Source organism: Homo sapiens, chromosome 18 (assembly GCF_000001405.40).
Source record: "Homo sapiens chromosome 18, GRCh38.p14 Primary Assembly".
Taxonomy (NCBI): domain Eukaryota; kingdom Metazoa; phylum Chordata; class Mammalia; order Primates; family Hominidae; genus Homo; species Homo sapiens.
This window is the reverse complement of record NC_000018.10, coordinates 6,875,517-6,890,365: the sequence shown is the minus strand read 5'-3', so window position 1 is coordinate 6,890,365 and position 14,849 is coordinate 6,875,517. Positions and strand designations below refer to the sequence as shown.

The following is a 14,849-nucleotide window of genomic DNA, read 5'->3' as shown; positions in this document are numbered from 1 at the left end:
TCTTCAGGCATGGCAACTCCTCCCAGTCACTCGGTATCCTGGAGCCAGGAATGGTGGCATTGTCCTTATAAAGTTTAGAAAAAATTATGTGGATCCCTGTTTCAAAGGGAAACTGTGTTGAAGAGCAGCCCTTCCAGAAGGTGTAAGGCTGTCACAGCCACCTGGGGTTATCTTCTCATATTTCTTCCCTATGACCAAGGGAGTTGCCCAATCATGGAGGCTTTATGTTTCCTGGGGACATGGACTTCTGAGGGGGACCTGTCATCACTATGTCACTCACCTTCCACAAAATCTTCTGGTACTTAAGCATTAGGCGGATGATGTGGGCCGCAGTGTTTGCTAACAGTAATTCTTCATAATCAGAGTGTTTGCTTCTACTGAAGAAAAGGTTTGGTGCCATCACTGTAGAAATGTTCCACAGACTCATTCGGTTTTTTGATTCATTGGCAATCACTTTATTGAAGAATGTCATGAGGGCCTAAGAAGAAACAGCATTGTGTCATACAATTGTACACTGTCAAAAGTGCCCCTGATTGCTATCATTCATTCTATTCCCATTCACTCTGCTGCCAGAGAACTGTCAGAAGTATAGAATGGTTAAACGTACCATGTTTCCCCTCTAACTGGTTAAAAGTACTGAGAAGAAATGTGAGCAGTATATTCAACTGTCTGCTTCATGAAAGTAGCCATTTTAATGGATTTTATTATATTGCAGTTTCTATAAATGTGGTTTGCATTTTCTTTTCTTTTATCCTAAAAGAGTCTGACAAATGTTAAAATTAAATATAAACTGGGAAGAGAAAATGCTGCAGTTCAATAAACACGAAAGGTTGTTTTGCTGTGAAGGAAGAAAAGTAATTCTGAAAAATACCCTTAACTTAAAGCATTGCTGTTGAAAACTATTTACAATTTCCTAGGGAAAGGAAAATTCATTTAAACAACATAAGTATCTCATTCCTCAGCCCAAATGTAAACTCAACTAAACAATAAAAAAATTGAATTTTTGGGTGCTATTTTTCTATTGCTTTTCAACTTTGAAATTGACAGCTGGCCAAAAGCAAATGTTTGTGTGCAGGTCTTCTAAGCATTAAAAAAAATAAAGAATTGAGAAAGCTTAATATAAGTTTGCTGTGCTATCAAAGTATAAATACTAAATTCACCAAGACGACTGAAATCCCCAAAAGAAGTGCTCTTTGGTTTTCCAAGTTTGAATTCCACTGTACAGTATTTGCAATGAGAAAAACAGCACTAAATAGTAATAATAGTTAACATTCATTTGAGGGTTTGCTGTGAGCCAGGCGTTACTCTTAGTACTTTATATATATTCACTCATCATTATTCCAAACCCTGTGAGGTAGGTACTATTATTATTTTACAGATGAAGAGACCGAGGTGGAGTGCGGCTGAGCAGCTTTGTTCAGCTTAAGTGGCAGAGCCAGGATCTGAACGAAGGGAACCAATTCTTCAGCTAGAGTTCTTGACCTCTAACCCACACCAGCTGCAATCCTAGCTCCAGTCACAATTTAGAATAAAAAATTAGAGAGACAGAGAGAGAGAGAGAGACAGTGCATGTGTGTAACATCCTCACCAGTCCCGTGATGTTCTGGGGGGACCTTTTGTTAGAAATGTATTGAATTATTTGATAATTGCTGCATCCTCAGTTGTATGAAAGGGTAGATGACATTTTGACTCAGATATTTGATAACAGATGAATTTTTTTTTGATAAAAGAACACTCTGTAGACAAAGCGAAAAAACAAGCTAATAAATTTTCAGTTTTTGAAAAATTATTGAATTATATTAGAAAAGGACATTTTTATGTCATAGCTGATCTCTGTCCTTGCCTCAAGGATACATCTAATATGACCGACATATATTATAATTGACATAGATATTTTCGCTGTGTAGGAGGAAGGTCCTTACCACACTGAAATGTCTGATAAGAGGCAGCACTAAGAACCATCTTTGTTTTCAGCATTATGTTTACTGGCCTCAAAATTACCATCTCTTTTCAACTCATCCTTATCTCAATTTCATTTCAAAGATTCCAAATACCTGTTGTACTTAAAACAAATTTCCTATTGTATATAGAATGATTATCCAGAGAGCAAGAGAAACTTTGATTTTTACCAACATACAGCAAAGAATGAATGTGAAATAAAGAGAGAAAAATTGGGGATGAAACTATAGAATATGATTCTATCAAATGTTCTACTATATATCAGTGGAGAAACCACTTTTCTGCTTCATTTTCCTAATATGTAAAATGACCAAATTCTATCAGATGATCTCTAAAATTCTGAAATTCTAGAACTATTTAAATTGAATTATTTTCACAAATTTAAAAACGTGAACATGCTAGAAATTTAAACCAGTGATTTCAAATTCCTCCCTGAGGACGCTCATCAGAGTTTTCTTTCCACTTCAGTACACCAGACTAATGTGAGTAGTTGAGGACCAGCAATTATAGAATCTATTTTACAAGTTACATAATGGTCTTATTGACTTATGACATTGTTCTATTTAAGCCTTCATTTTTGCCTCTTCTACTCCTAACACCTTGCCCAATGCCTGACACAGGATAGACAGTCAACATCTCTGGGATGAATGGAGTGAATGAAACTTAAATGTTTAAGAACATACCGCCCGGGCGTGGTGGCTCACACTTGTAATCCCAGCACTTTGGGAGGCTGCGGCAGGAGGATCACTTGAGCCCTGGAGTTGGAGACCAGCCTGAGCAACATGGCAAAACCCTGCCTCTGCAAAAAATGAGCTGGGTGTGGTGGCACATACCTGTAGTCCCAGCTACTTGGAAGGCTGAGATGGGAGAATCACCTGGCCCTGGGAAGTCAACGCTGCAGTGAGTTGTGATCGTGCCACTGCACTCCAGCCTGGGTGACAAAGCAAAACTCTGTCTCTCAAAAAAAAAAAAAAAACAAGATACCAAGATCTCCACTCTTTCTTGTCTTCCTCAGGAGAAGGGCAGTGGGAGCACAGAAAGGCCGTGTGTTTGCAGCATGCTCAGGTGGCTCAGTGAGCTGTCATCTCCACTTTCATTTTCCTATATGAGCCATGTCCTCTGAGCAATAAGAGCCCCAGGACAAGCTGTGAGGTGGACACGACGTACCTGAGCTGCATCTCTGTTGGCATCAGGCAGCGCCATGACCATGAGGTGTAAGGCTTGAAACTGTACTTTGACGTGAGGCCCTCCTAACAAGAAAACAGAAATAGTCATACATTTTAAATAGCCCTGATGCATCCTGACAGCATTTCTTGCTAGCATCTGGTGGCACAGGAGGGCTCCTGACAGCTTTTGGTGGTAAAGACTCAGGTTTTGTGCCCAGCAATGTAAATTTGTTCACTTGGACAGGAGCCTCTGTCCATCAACTCCCTTTTCCCATCCCATGATGCCATTGTTGAGGCAGGTGGCCAACGAGATCCTCAGAATAATTCTGGATTTGGATAGCACTTCCCTTTCAAAGTACTTTCGCAGACCTTCCCTTCCTTTAATACTATAAATAGAAGTGAAGCTCACTCAATACAAGAGAAAATAAACCTTGCTTCCATATAATGAGGCAGAAAAGTATAAGTATTAGGAACACAGATTTAGAACCAGGTTTCAAACCTGGACTACTATTTAGTCGCTGTGTGACCTGGGGCAGGTTATTTAATCCCTGTTGCATCTACTTTATTATCTGTAAAATAGGAATAGTCATTGTATCTACCTCACAGGCTGTTATGAGGATTAAATGAGTTAATACATGTAGAGTGTTTAAATCAGTACCTGTACATAGTTATCTTTCTACATATTTGCTCTTACTTTTATGATCTATGACACTTATTCTAGATCTTCCATGGACACTTAGGGAAGGTGATGACTGTAGTTGGATCTTTGGAGATTGTTGAGTATTTTCTTCCTCAGTAATGACACAAGATGGCGCCAGAGGGTTGGCATTTATACTCAGGGATTCCATCCACAGCTGGATAATCCACGACCAGCTGTGCTGAAAATTTAGAATACACCAGAGAATCTAGGCTTTCCTTTGTCCCTCTGTATTTTCTTCAAAATGGTGTCTTGGTGGGGAGTTCTTGGAGGAAAGCATTATGTTCTGGAATCTCTGGGGAGTTCTCAAGTTGAAGGAAAATCTATTTCTATTCAATGGCTGGAAGGCAGTCAGCTGCTGGTGAAGTTAACTGAGCTGTATAGCAGTGGAAACACTTGTGACAAGCTAGTAGGTTACTGGAGCTGTGCGTGCTAGAGTTCAGGAGTAGATGACAAGTGTATACAACCAAGCAATATGGGGAGAGAGGGAGGATCATATTGTTGAAGAAAAATCCATGTGTAGATTTGTGGATAACTTGTATCAAATTTATAATGACGCAGGTCCAGGATGTTACTGAAAAGAGCAAATACACATTGCTGTGAGCTTGCCTGAATAATAGAAACTTTAAGAGCAAGTCTCAGTGCAAAGCATTTAGGGGCAGACAAGACATAATGTTAGTGCATAAACTGCAGGCTGAGGACTGTCTCTAATCTTCCAACGCAATTAAAAAAAAAAAAAAACAACTCTGGGGAAGAAAAAAACAAGAGATGCAGATGTAGGCTTGGGACCACTGTGTTTCCATTAACTTCAGAGAAATTAAGAAGCTCTTTTAAGTTAAGTTTAATTTGGCAAATAATCCATTTTCATTTTACTTAGGAAACCTGGCCCAACGCTGTTTTGTGATTAATAGTTTTGTAGTTAATTCATTTAATACATCCCCGTCACAAGTATTCTCTTTCCTGAGGTCATTATTTCCCCAGAAAGTTATTAAGCATGTAATGAAAGCATCTGAGGCTTGATTGATGATGATACTAGTCCTTTAATTTTACGGTCAAGTTTGGGGCCAAGTTTGAAAAGAGAAAGTAACGACATTAGTGGAAAAGGCTCTGTGTTCTCTGAGCTCCATTTGAGGGTATTGAGAGGGACAGCTTAAACACACACACACACGCGCTTGTTCACAATCCTCCCCTTCAGAGAATCTTGTTACAACTAGAGCTTACTTAGGTGGCAAAAAGGCCATTATTTCCTGCTGGTAGCAGGCCAGAACTCTGGGTTTCCTGCAGGGTTCGCTGGTATCAAATCAACCACCTGCAATATAGTATTTTTCACTTTCAAAGTCATACGAAGGAATGTGGACTCTTTGTGAACCCTTTCAGGATATTTCTCAGAACCTCTCCCTTCAGTGAAATGTACTGGCTGTAGTCAGATAGGCAGTAATGATGATACAGCATGCAGTAAATGCTACACAGAAGATAATTGGTCTCTGAAAATTACAACGTCACACAGTGTTTCTGAAAATTACGAAGTCATACCGATTAGGTCTTTAGTGAAGTATTTGGGTAAAAGCACAAAAACTATAAAGTATGTTTTGTAACTGACAGTCAGGGAATCATTTGGCATGGTTTGAACACAAGGATTGAATATTTTGGAGGATGAAAATTAATATATTCATATACCCTTCTTAAATATGATTCTCTGAACAGATCTGGAATTAGAGGTTTGAATCCTCCTTGCATAATTCAAACTACCAAAAAACAAAAACAAATGAGTGATCCAGAGATGGAAGGTCCTAATTCTGGTATAAACTTCACCCAAATCTCTGGCTGACCCACAAACCATGCGTGTGTGGGGTAACACGGCGAAGGATTGAACAACTGAACACACAGTTGAGCTCCTGCCCAAAAGACCACTGGCAATTTGAGTCCAGTCAAGCAAACTGCCGGCTTAAAAGAGCAACAATAGTAAAAGAAACCAAACAACATTCTTTGGAGAAATACTTCAGAATCCATAGTCTCCAAAGACTATATTCATAATGTTCAGAATAAGCTTTAAATTTACTTGACATACAAAGTAACAAGGAAAGTGTAACCCATTCTCAAAGAAGACAGAGACCAACCCTGAGATAACCCAGGTGTTAGAACTGCCAACAAGGACTTTTTTTTCTTTTTTGAGACAGAGTCTTGCTCTGTCGCCCAGGCTGGAGTGCAGTGGCACGATCTCGGCTCACTATAAGCTCCACCGCCTGGGTTGACACCATTCTCCTGCCTCAGCATCCAGAGTAGTTGGGTCTACAGGTGCCCGCCACCACGCCTGGCCAATTTTTTGTATTTTTAGTAGAGACGGGGTTTCACCTTGTTAGCCAGGATAGTCTCGATCTCCTGAACTCGTGATCTGCCCACCTCAGCCTCCCAAAGTGCTGGGATTACAGGCGTGAGCCCCCACGCCTGGCCGCCAACAAGGATTTTGAAGCAGCTATTGTACCTGTGCTCAATGATGTGAAGGAAAATATGATTATAATGAATGAAAAGATAGGTCACCTCAACAGAAAAACAGAAAGTATTTTAAAAGCACCAACTGAAAATTCTAGAACTGAAAAAATACAATGTCTGAAACAAAAATGAATGAAGGAAATTAGTAGCTCTTCTCTCTTTTTCAGCAAGTTTTTCTCATTAAAAAAACCCAGTAAGCTTACAAAGAAAATAGATACTGGTCACGGACAGCATGTGAATTAAAGCTTAGAAAATGACTGCCTTGCCTACAATATTCTCTTCTTTCAAGACACAAAAGATTATTTTATGAATCTGGTTTAGTTAAAACATTCAAAGATTTAGAACCTACATAATTTTTAGGACAAATTTTGCCATACAACTTAGGATCTATTATTTTCTTTCATTGTAATTTTTATGAAATTGTAGTTCTGGCCAACCTGAGAAGGTTGTACAATGGCAGATACAGACATCACCTGTTAAGTTCACACAACATTTTAAAATTTAAATTAGTGGCTGGGCCAGGTGTGGTGGCTCACGCCTGTAATCCCAGCAATTTGGAGGGTGAGGCAGGGAGATCACTTGAGGCTAGGAGTTTGAGACCAGCCTGGCCAACATGGCGAAACCCCGTCTCTACTAAAAATACAAAAATCAGACAGGTGTGGTGGCGCACACCTGTAATCCCAGCTACTCAGGAGGCTGAGGCAGGAGAATCGCTTGAATCCCGGGGGTGGAGGTTGCTGTGAGCCAAGATCGCATCACTGAACTCCAGCCTGGGCAACAGTGCGACACTCTGTCTCAAAAAAAAAAAAAAAAATTAGTGCCTGACACTCTCAAATTGAGAGTTTTCGCATTAAAGCCTGGATTTGGCTCTCAGTCTGGCACAGCAACCATTACGGAGAACCAAGCAGTGGTCAATGTCTCTAGATGGGGTGTGTCCTCTCAGTTTGGACACAGACCTTTTTGGTCCATGTAGAATCAACATTTACTTAGCATGCTCATACATATTTAGATTTGCAATGCCTGAACTCCCCAGGTTAACAGTTAAAGCCCCCACTATGTACCCCCATTCTACTTTTCCAAACTTTTCTCTTGTTACATCCTCCACAATATTCAACCTTTATGCTCAAACCATGCCAAATGATTCCTTGTCAATTACAACACACACTTTATAATTTTTGTGCTTTTGCCCACATACTTCACTTAAAGGCCTAATCTATATGACTTTGTAACTTTCAGAAACATGATGTGACTTTGTAATTTTCAGAGACATATTATCTTCTGTGAAGTATTTATTGCATGCTGCATCATCAGACCTAGGACCTCAGATTTAAGAAAGGCAGTGATGTCGTATTTTTTGATGCATTATCACACACCAGGCTCTATTCTAAATGACTTCATTCAATATCCACGGCAACCCTGACAGGTAATTATTATCTGTAATTTACAGATGTAGTAACTGAGGCTCAGAAGGTTTGATTGCATGGCTAACAGATGGTTGCACAGGAATCCAAATCTCAAGAGCCTGGTCTTTCTGCAAACCCCTCTGCCTTTTAATGATTATAAAACCCTAAACCAGGCTTAAGTATATAAGTATGTAAGTAGGTGACTGTTTGCCATCAAACTTAATATTCCACCAAGCACTGTCAGGACACAGCAAATCTATACATGAGCACATTTGATTCAGCATCTCTCTTCTGCTCTCACTTTATTGACCTTATATCTTAGCGTATTCACATATAACGTCTTCCACCTACTTTCCATTAGACTGATGAAGGCAGGTATATATTCCACAGGGAAGAGAGAGGTGGGTAGTTCTCTGAAAAACGCTTTCAACATTACTGCAGCTTCTCTATGGCACATTTTGTCCCATTTAAATTTATCAGCATTAAACTTGGCATCAAGTTCTTCACGGTATTGCTGTAAATCAAGGAAAACAGTCAGTATTCAATGCACTTTTACCACCTGACCCCATTTTCCCCTTCGAAAACTGTTCTTATATAAACTGTTTTTGTAAACAGACTGGTAAGGTAATGTCTACCAAGAGTAATTTTTTTTCAACATGATTAAGGCAAATAGCTATGTGAGGATGAATTTTTAAAAACAATTTTCTAAAATATTTAAAAAATAATGTTGATCTTGAAATAATTTTCTAATTCTACACAAATATAGAAGTTCTCTACTCTGATCACAGTTTCATTTCTGTGGTTTTGGCAGAATACCACTATTCCCACATGATAAATACACTGTTAGATTCTGACAAAGTCTCCGTTCCCCCTCTTTTCATAATCCCTTCTGCCATCCTCTCTTCTATTTCTAAATTAGATCAAGAAGGTTTGCCTCTCAGCCAGTTCACAAACAGAATGAGAAATATCCCAATAAAGTAACTCTGACCTCGCTGCAACATGCAAACCTATGACATCTTCCTGGAGCAGTGACAGCGAAGTTTTATTCCAAGACAGACACATGCCTTCCACATGTTTGCATGCTTGCCCAATCCTTTGTAAGGTTTGGAACACTGTGCAAATACTTTTAAAAAAACCTCTAAGCCTCCGTAAGTTCTACTTGGCTAACAAATTTTACATTATGAATTCATCTGATTATCAATGCCACTCAGGCTTCATGTTTCTTTTCAAAGGCAAACTCATTTTTCACTGCTCCTTTGAACTACAAGGTTTACCTATAATGCCAGCAGTTATAGTCAGTCTCCCAGCTGACACTAACTGCTCCAGAAAAGATACTTAGAAAGGGAACTCTAAAAGCTCTGTTTCTTTAAGACCTCTGCTTTATTCTCATGAGAAGCCTAATTCTTCTGGCCTTGAGCACGCACAGCCAGAGTCAGTGTGCACATCTGACCTTTTCCTAATAAGGATTAGCTCATTAACCAGCCAGACATAATCACTCTCTTGGCTCCCAGAGCCTGAAAACTGGAGGTCCCTGGCAGCACAAGTTTCTTGCAGAGATACGCATGATTCTGATGCACCCTCTAACCTCTACTGATAAGATCAAAAGGAGATTTCCATCTTGCCCTGGAGAAGCTTTCAATCTTATAGGAATACTTTGGCTAATCAAGAAACCCTCTGGTGATAAATACACTTTACAAAACCTTAAGCATAAATATAAAGTTCTCCCTAAAATGAAAGAGATAGAGTGGGCTCTGAAAAGAGGATGCATGAGATCCATTCTTTGCCTTTCGGTGTCCTGTAATCTAGTGGGTGGGACTATTTCATGAGCTGATACGACTCATTTAGAGTGCACATGCTATAAGAAAAGTCATGTATTGGTGCTATGCAGCCAGGAAAGAGAGGAGTCAAACTCTGCTAGGGGCAAGTCTTGAGGATTACAGGGAATAGGAAATAGAAGGGGATCCTGCTCAAGCAGTGATACAAATGCCAGCAGATCCAGTGTGTCTGGGGAACTCCAGTTCATTCAGCCTTGCTGGCGCATCTAGGGCAAGGAACAAGGCTGGAGAGCAGCGAGCGCCAGTGCTAAGGGGACTAGCCTTCACGCTGTAGGCAATGAGGCAGCCTGGAACATCTCTAAGCACGGGAATGGCAAGGGTAGATTTGTCTTTTCTGACAGCCAGATGGAAAAATGATTTGGGGGAGCGTGGAGCTTGGCATAGGTCGGGTGGGTGGAAGCGAGTGACAGGCAAAGAACCCAGTTATGAAGCCACAGCACCACTTCCAGGGAGGGATAACTAAGGACTAATCTGGATAAACAGTTGTAGGATAGAAAGGAGAGGAGGCATTGAAGAAATGCCCAGGAGGGAAAATTCTCAAGAATCAGTGATGGATTGAATATGAGACTCAAAGGGAGAAATAATCATCCGAGATGATTTTCCAAGACGATTTCCATCTGATTTGTAATGGGCAGGTGGCAGTGTTGTTAACAGGAAAAACACAGGAGGAGGAGTAAGCATTTCCCATCAGTCGCCTGGTACCACTGCAGTAAAGCAAAGGGGACATTGTTTTCCAAGTGCACAGGAAGCACCAGCGAGAGGAGAAGAATTCAAATTCATTTTCCACATACCTCTGCAAAGGAATCTATCTGAATCACAAATGTGGCCGTCCTAACCTGTGAGTAGTTCCCAGTCACCTAAGGGGCAACAGGGCACCAGGGTCAAGGGCAGGTGCTACAACCAGATCCTTTAGGCTTTTATCCGAACTCAGCAACTGACTAGGTTATGGTCTGTGCTTCAAGCTTCTCAATGTACAATGGAATATTAAAACGACATTCCCAAGATCAAAACAAATAATATCATGTAGAGCTCACAGGGCAGGGCCTGCCATGCTGACAGCTCTCAATAAACACCGCACTGGCTGCTCGCCCCTCCCCCACTCTCAGGTCTATTCTAACCTGCAGTGTCATTACTATGGGAATCCCACGCGTATGCGGCGTGACTGTTTAGGGAATAATACCGCGTCATACTGTCTGGATGGCTAGTATAAAGCAACACTGAGAGAAATAATGTCTTTTTTTGGTTCTGAACAGAGCTGACATTTCTGTGGTGGCCCCAATGTGAAACCATGTCAGCCGGGTATGAGTTTACCTTGCCAAAGATGGGGAGCACTTAGAGGTTCAGAAGCCCTGTTTTTCTGACCCCTGACTAGGCAAGGATGAGAAGTCTTGTCATTAAATCTCCCTTCAGCAAAAATGCAATGTGCCTCTATTTTGGAGGTAGTTTTATACAAATGCAAATGACCAGCCTAAATAAGCCAGGTGAGGTAATTATAAAACATTTAGAACAGCCTTGGAATGATTCAAACTAGTCAAAAAAGAAAATCTCGCATGTCAAACAGTCTGCCTCTTTCCATAAAATATATTCCCCGGTGTTTGGCTCAAATTTCTGTCATTTTTGAAAAGAAAATCATTGCAAACACCAACCAAAGCATTAAATTGGTTCCAAATGAGCTGAGGCCTCAAGTCTGGGACTTGGCTCCACAGCTGCGTGTTCCCTGTTTGGCTAAAACCAGCAGCTTCCTCCCAGGGCTGCTCCCCTGTCAGCCTCCCCAAGCAATTAAAGCACAAAGCCAGGCCAGACCGTTCACAGTAATGATACACTAGCGGACCACAGGGCTGGTATCATCGACTTGGTTCAATCCGAGGATAATTATAATGGAGTTTTTAGTAGTTTAGTGGATGAATTACAAAAAAGGAGGTAGTTTAAATAAAAAGTTTGAATAAAGGAGAGGAATAAAGAACCCTTTAATGCATCACGTTTCAATGTCTTTCTAACGGCAGTGTTTCCCGGTTTCTGTTCACTTGCCCAGATTTCTTTCACATTGGCCTTCCTAGGGCTCAAACCATGAAAACATCTGGATTACATTTTCCACTAATAAGTGATGGAATAAATTAGGCTGAAACTACATAAAACTGGGTAGGGGAGAAAAAAGACTGACCTGTATGTGGTTCAGGAATGCATGTGCCTATAATAACTTTCTGAAGGAACGATTAGCCTTTGAGAAGCATTTTTCAGTGGAAGATTAGCCAAAGAAAGGTAGCTGCTGCTATGACGTTAAACTTTGTGCACATAAGAAATGCCCTGTAATTTTTTTTTTATTATACTTTAAGTTTTAGGGTACATGTGCACAATGTGCAGGTTAGTTACATATGTATACATGTGCCATGCTGGTGTGCTGCACCCACTAACTCATCATCTAGCATTAGGTATATCTCCCAATGCTATCCCTCCCCCCTCCCCCCACCCCACAACAGTCCCCAGAGTGTGATGTTCCCCTTCCTGTGTCCATGTGTTCTCATTGTTCAATTTCCATCTATGAGTGAGAACATGCGGTGTTTGGTTTTTTGTCCTTGCGATAGTTTGCTGAGAATGATGATTTCCAATTTCATCCATGTCCCTACAAAGGACATGAACTCATCATTTTTTATGGCTGCATAGTATTCCATGGTGTATATGTGCCACATTTTCTTAATCCAGTCTATCATTGTTGGACAATGCTCTGTAATGTTTTCTCCTTTCGGTGATTTAGAAACAGGACATTTAAATCATATGCATTATGCATGTTATACACCCATGCATGCATGTGTACACAGGCACATACATACACACACACACATGCACATACACACACACACACACAGAGGAACCAGTAAGAATATGTGCAAATACAGTTTCCCAATTATGGACAGAGGTTTCAAGAGATGGAATCTGTTTCTGTTTAGGAAATTTCTTTCTTTCATTTTGGTTCTCTGACTCTGCAGATATAACCAAAGATTTAACCAAAATAAGTAATGGTTTTCATCCTTACTTGTAGGATACATTTTTTTAGAAGAGTATGTAAGAACGAAACACACGAGAAACGGAGACAGAAAGCAGATGCACCCTAGAAAGCATAAACCTTAAGGAGCCGTTGGGCATTTCCCTGCCTTCCACAAGAACTTGTGCCAGCATTCAGCCAACTCCACTCTCAGGGAAGCCGTAACCCCTCAACATGCCCGGAGCCCTGATGCCCTGGTGCCCTGCTCCGACCTCGCTTCACGGAAGACCTTGCCCTCACGTGCAAAAGCCCAGGTAGCCGACTCTCCCAGCTGTGGGCCCCTTCTGGATGTGGCTCAGCCATATTTTCTGCAGGAAGCCCCAGCCCACGACGGGGTGAGGCATGGGTACCAGGGCCTTGCCCATTCTGCCCAGCACACGGCTCCTCCATGGTTAGGAATTGTCTGACCTGCACCGTGGTTAGAGCCTCACCCCAGCCAATCCTGGTTCCTGCCCCTTTCATCCTGCAGAAGCAGAACCGCCGTGACTCTCCTCCGCTCCTCACCCATCTCAGCATCTGCTTTCTGGAGGATCCAATAGACGCAGCCTATCTATTCTCAGTTTCCACTTAGAAAAACCTCTCGTCACACTTCTATATAAAAACTCTGATACTGATACAAATAGAATTTCCCAAAGCATGTACCAAAATGAATTAATGAAGAGATGCTGTTTTGCCTCTACAAATGTCTTTTTGATAAACATTACCACATTGGTTTTCCCCTGCCCCTGAGACTGTTTGCTCAGGGATCCAGCTTTTAAAACTGCTCAGGTTTTCACATCTGCAAGACAGGGAGTGATCCAACCACAGGAATGAGCTCTCCATGGTGTATGCCTACCCGCAGACACAGTGGGATGTTTTGCTGGATTTTTATGAGAAAAGCTTTTCTTTTCTAACAGTTCTTTGCTTTATTGTACTGTAGAGTTTGCCACCTCATGGAAGTAAGAAAGCAAAAGAATAAGATTCACACTGAACAGCTGGTTTTAGATGTGGATGTTAACATTACTGTAAGTGGAACTGGGTTTTGGAACTGCTGAGTGAGTATTCTAGTGGTTATAGCCATTGCTACAAATTCCTGTAAGAGCTTTCACTAAAGGGAGAGCCAAAGAATGTTTAAACCAACGAATGATGGAAATAAAGACTCATATAACATTGGCTTAGTGAATTCCACGGCTGAGAGGAGCACAACAAACTAAGGTGTTTAACCTCCAAAACAGCAGTGAGACGTTTCAACTTTTACAAACTAAAGGCAAGCAGCAGTTTTTGATGGTGAATTGATGTGCTATTTCATTTTTTCCAAACTAAAGGCAAGCAGCAGTTTTTGATGGTGAATTGATGTGCTATTTCATTGTTGTTTTTGGTTTTTTAATGTTTCCGTTTTGATTTTTAAAATTCTGGATCATGAAAAAACTCTGGAACAAACATTTTACCACAGGTACCAAGGAATACTAGGAAGGACCAAGTGATAATATCTAATAAACAACAACAAATATCTGGATCCCCGATGCTTGTGTGAACTGGGTCTAGCTAGCTTAGAACTCTACCTAGGAAGAGACAAAATGTTCGGTACCTTGACTTTAGCAGTACATCCTGAAAGTCGAAAAATTCCTTCAGATTCCAGACCTGATTCCTCAACTTTCTCAAAAAACTAGAAAGCAATGATATATTACCAGAATAAGTACCTCTATATGATCATAAACATATGAAACAGTAACAATGATGACATGAATCAATAAGTTACCAAGCATATATATATTTGCCTGGCACTTGAATGCTGTGTTAAATGTTCATAACCATCCTATGACGTCAACGTTATCCTCCGACATGCAAATGAGAAAGTAGAGATTTATAGCAGTTATACAACTTTCCCAAGATCAACCTCGTAAGTAACGGCACTGACTCAAGTTCGTGCTCTTAACCACTCTAAAATTATACATGCCTCTTAACCATTTTTAAGATCTGATTACTATAACTCTTTCTGCAGACTGATCAGTAACAAGAGATTCTAAATCTACTGTCATTGGTTGCAATCACTCTGACTAAGAAACTATAGGAATTCTAGATGTCTGATCAAGGAGTTTAGACGGGGTAAAGATTAATAGCTTTCGTGAGTTCTCAGGATGGTGATAGGTGTTAAAAAAGTAATAAACACTACCATTTATTGTGCATTGATTATGTGTAAGTTCCTATTCTCAGTCCTTTACCTGCATTAACTCATCTAATCCTCACAATAACCCTATTCTACTGCTAAGGAGACTAAGG

General features: G+C 40.6%; 1 protein-coding gene across 14 annotated transcripts in view; it reads right to left on the bottom strand.

Annotated features, from left to right (window-relative positions):
- ARHGAP28 (Rho GTPase activating protein 28) overlaps nt 1-14,849 on the bottom strand; it is a 186,001-nt gene that overhangs the window by 25,351 nt on the left and 145,801 nt on the right. For 12 of the 14 annotated variants that reach the window (NM_001366230.1, NM_001410873.1, NM_001366231.1 and 9 more), the window contains 4 exons: nt 14,158-14,235; nt 8,067-8,229; nt 3,127-3,209; nt 281-478 (listed from right to left, as the gene is read on the bottom strand). In NM_001366230.1, the coding sequence (NP_001353159.1) occupies nt 281-478; nt 3,127-3,209; nt 8,067-8,229; nt 14,158-14,235 (522 nt within the window). The remainder of the gene's footprint in view (nt 1-280; nt 479-3,126; nt 3,210-8,066; nt 8,230-14,157; nt 14,236-14,849) is intronic. The other 2 variants (XM_005258146.3, XM_047437794.1) reach the window with 1 other exon arrangement.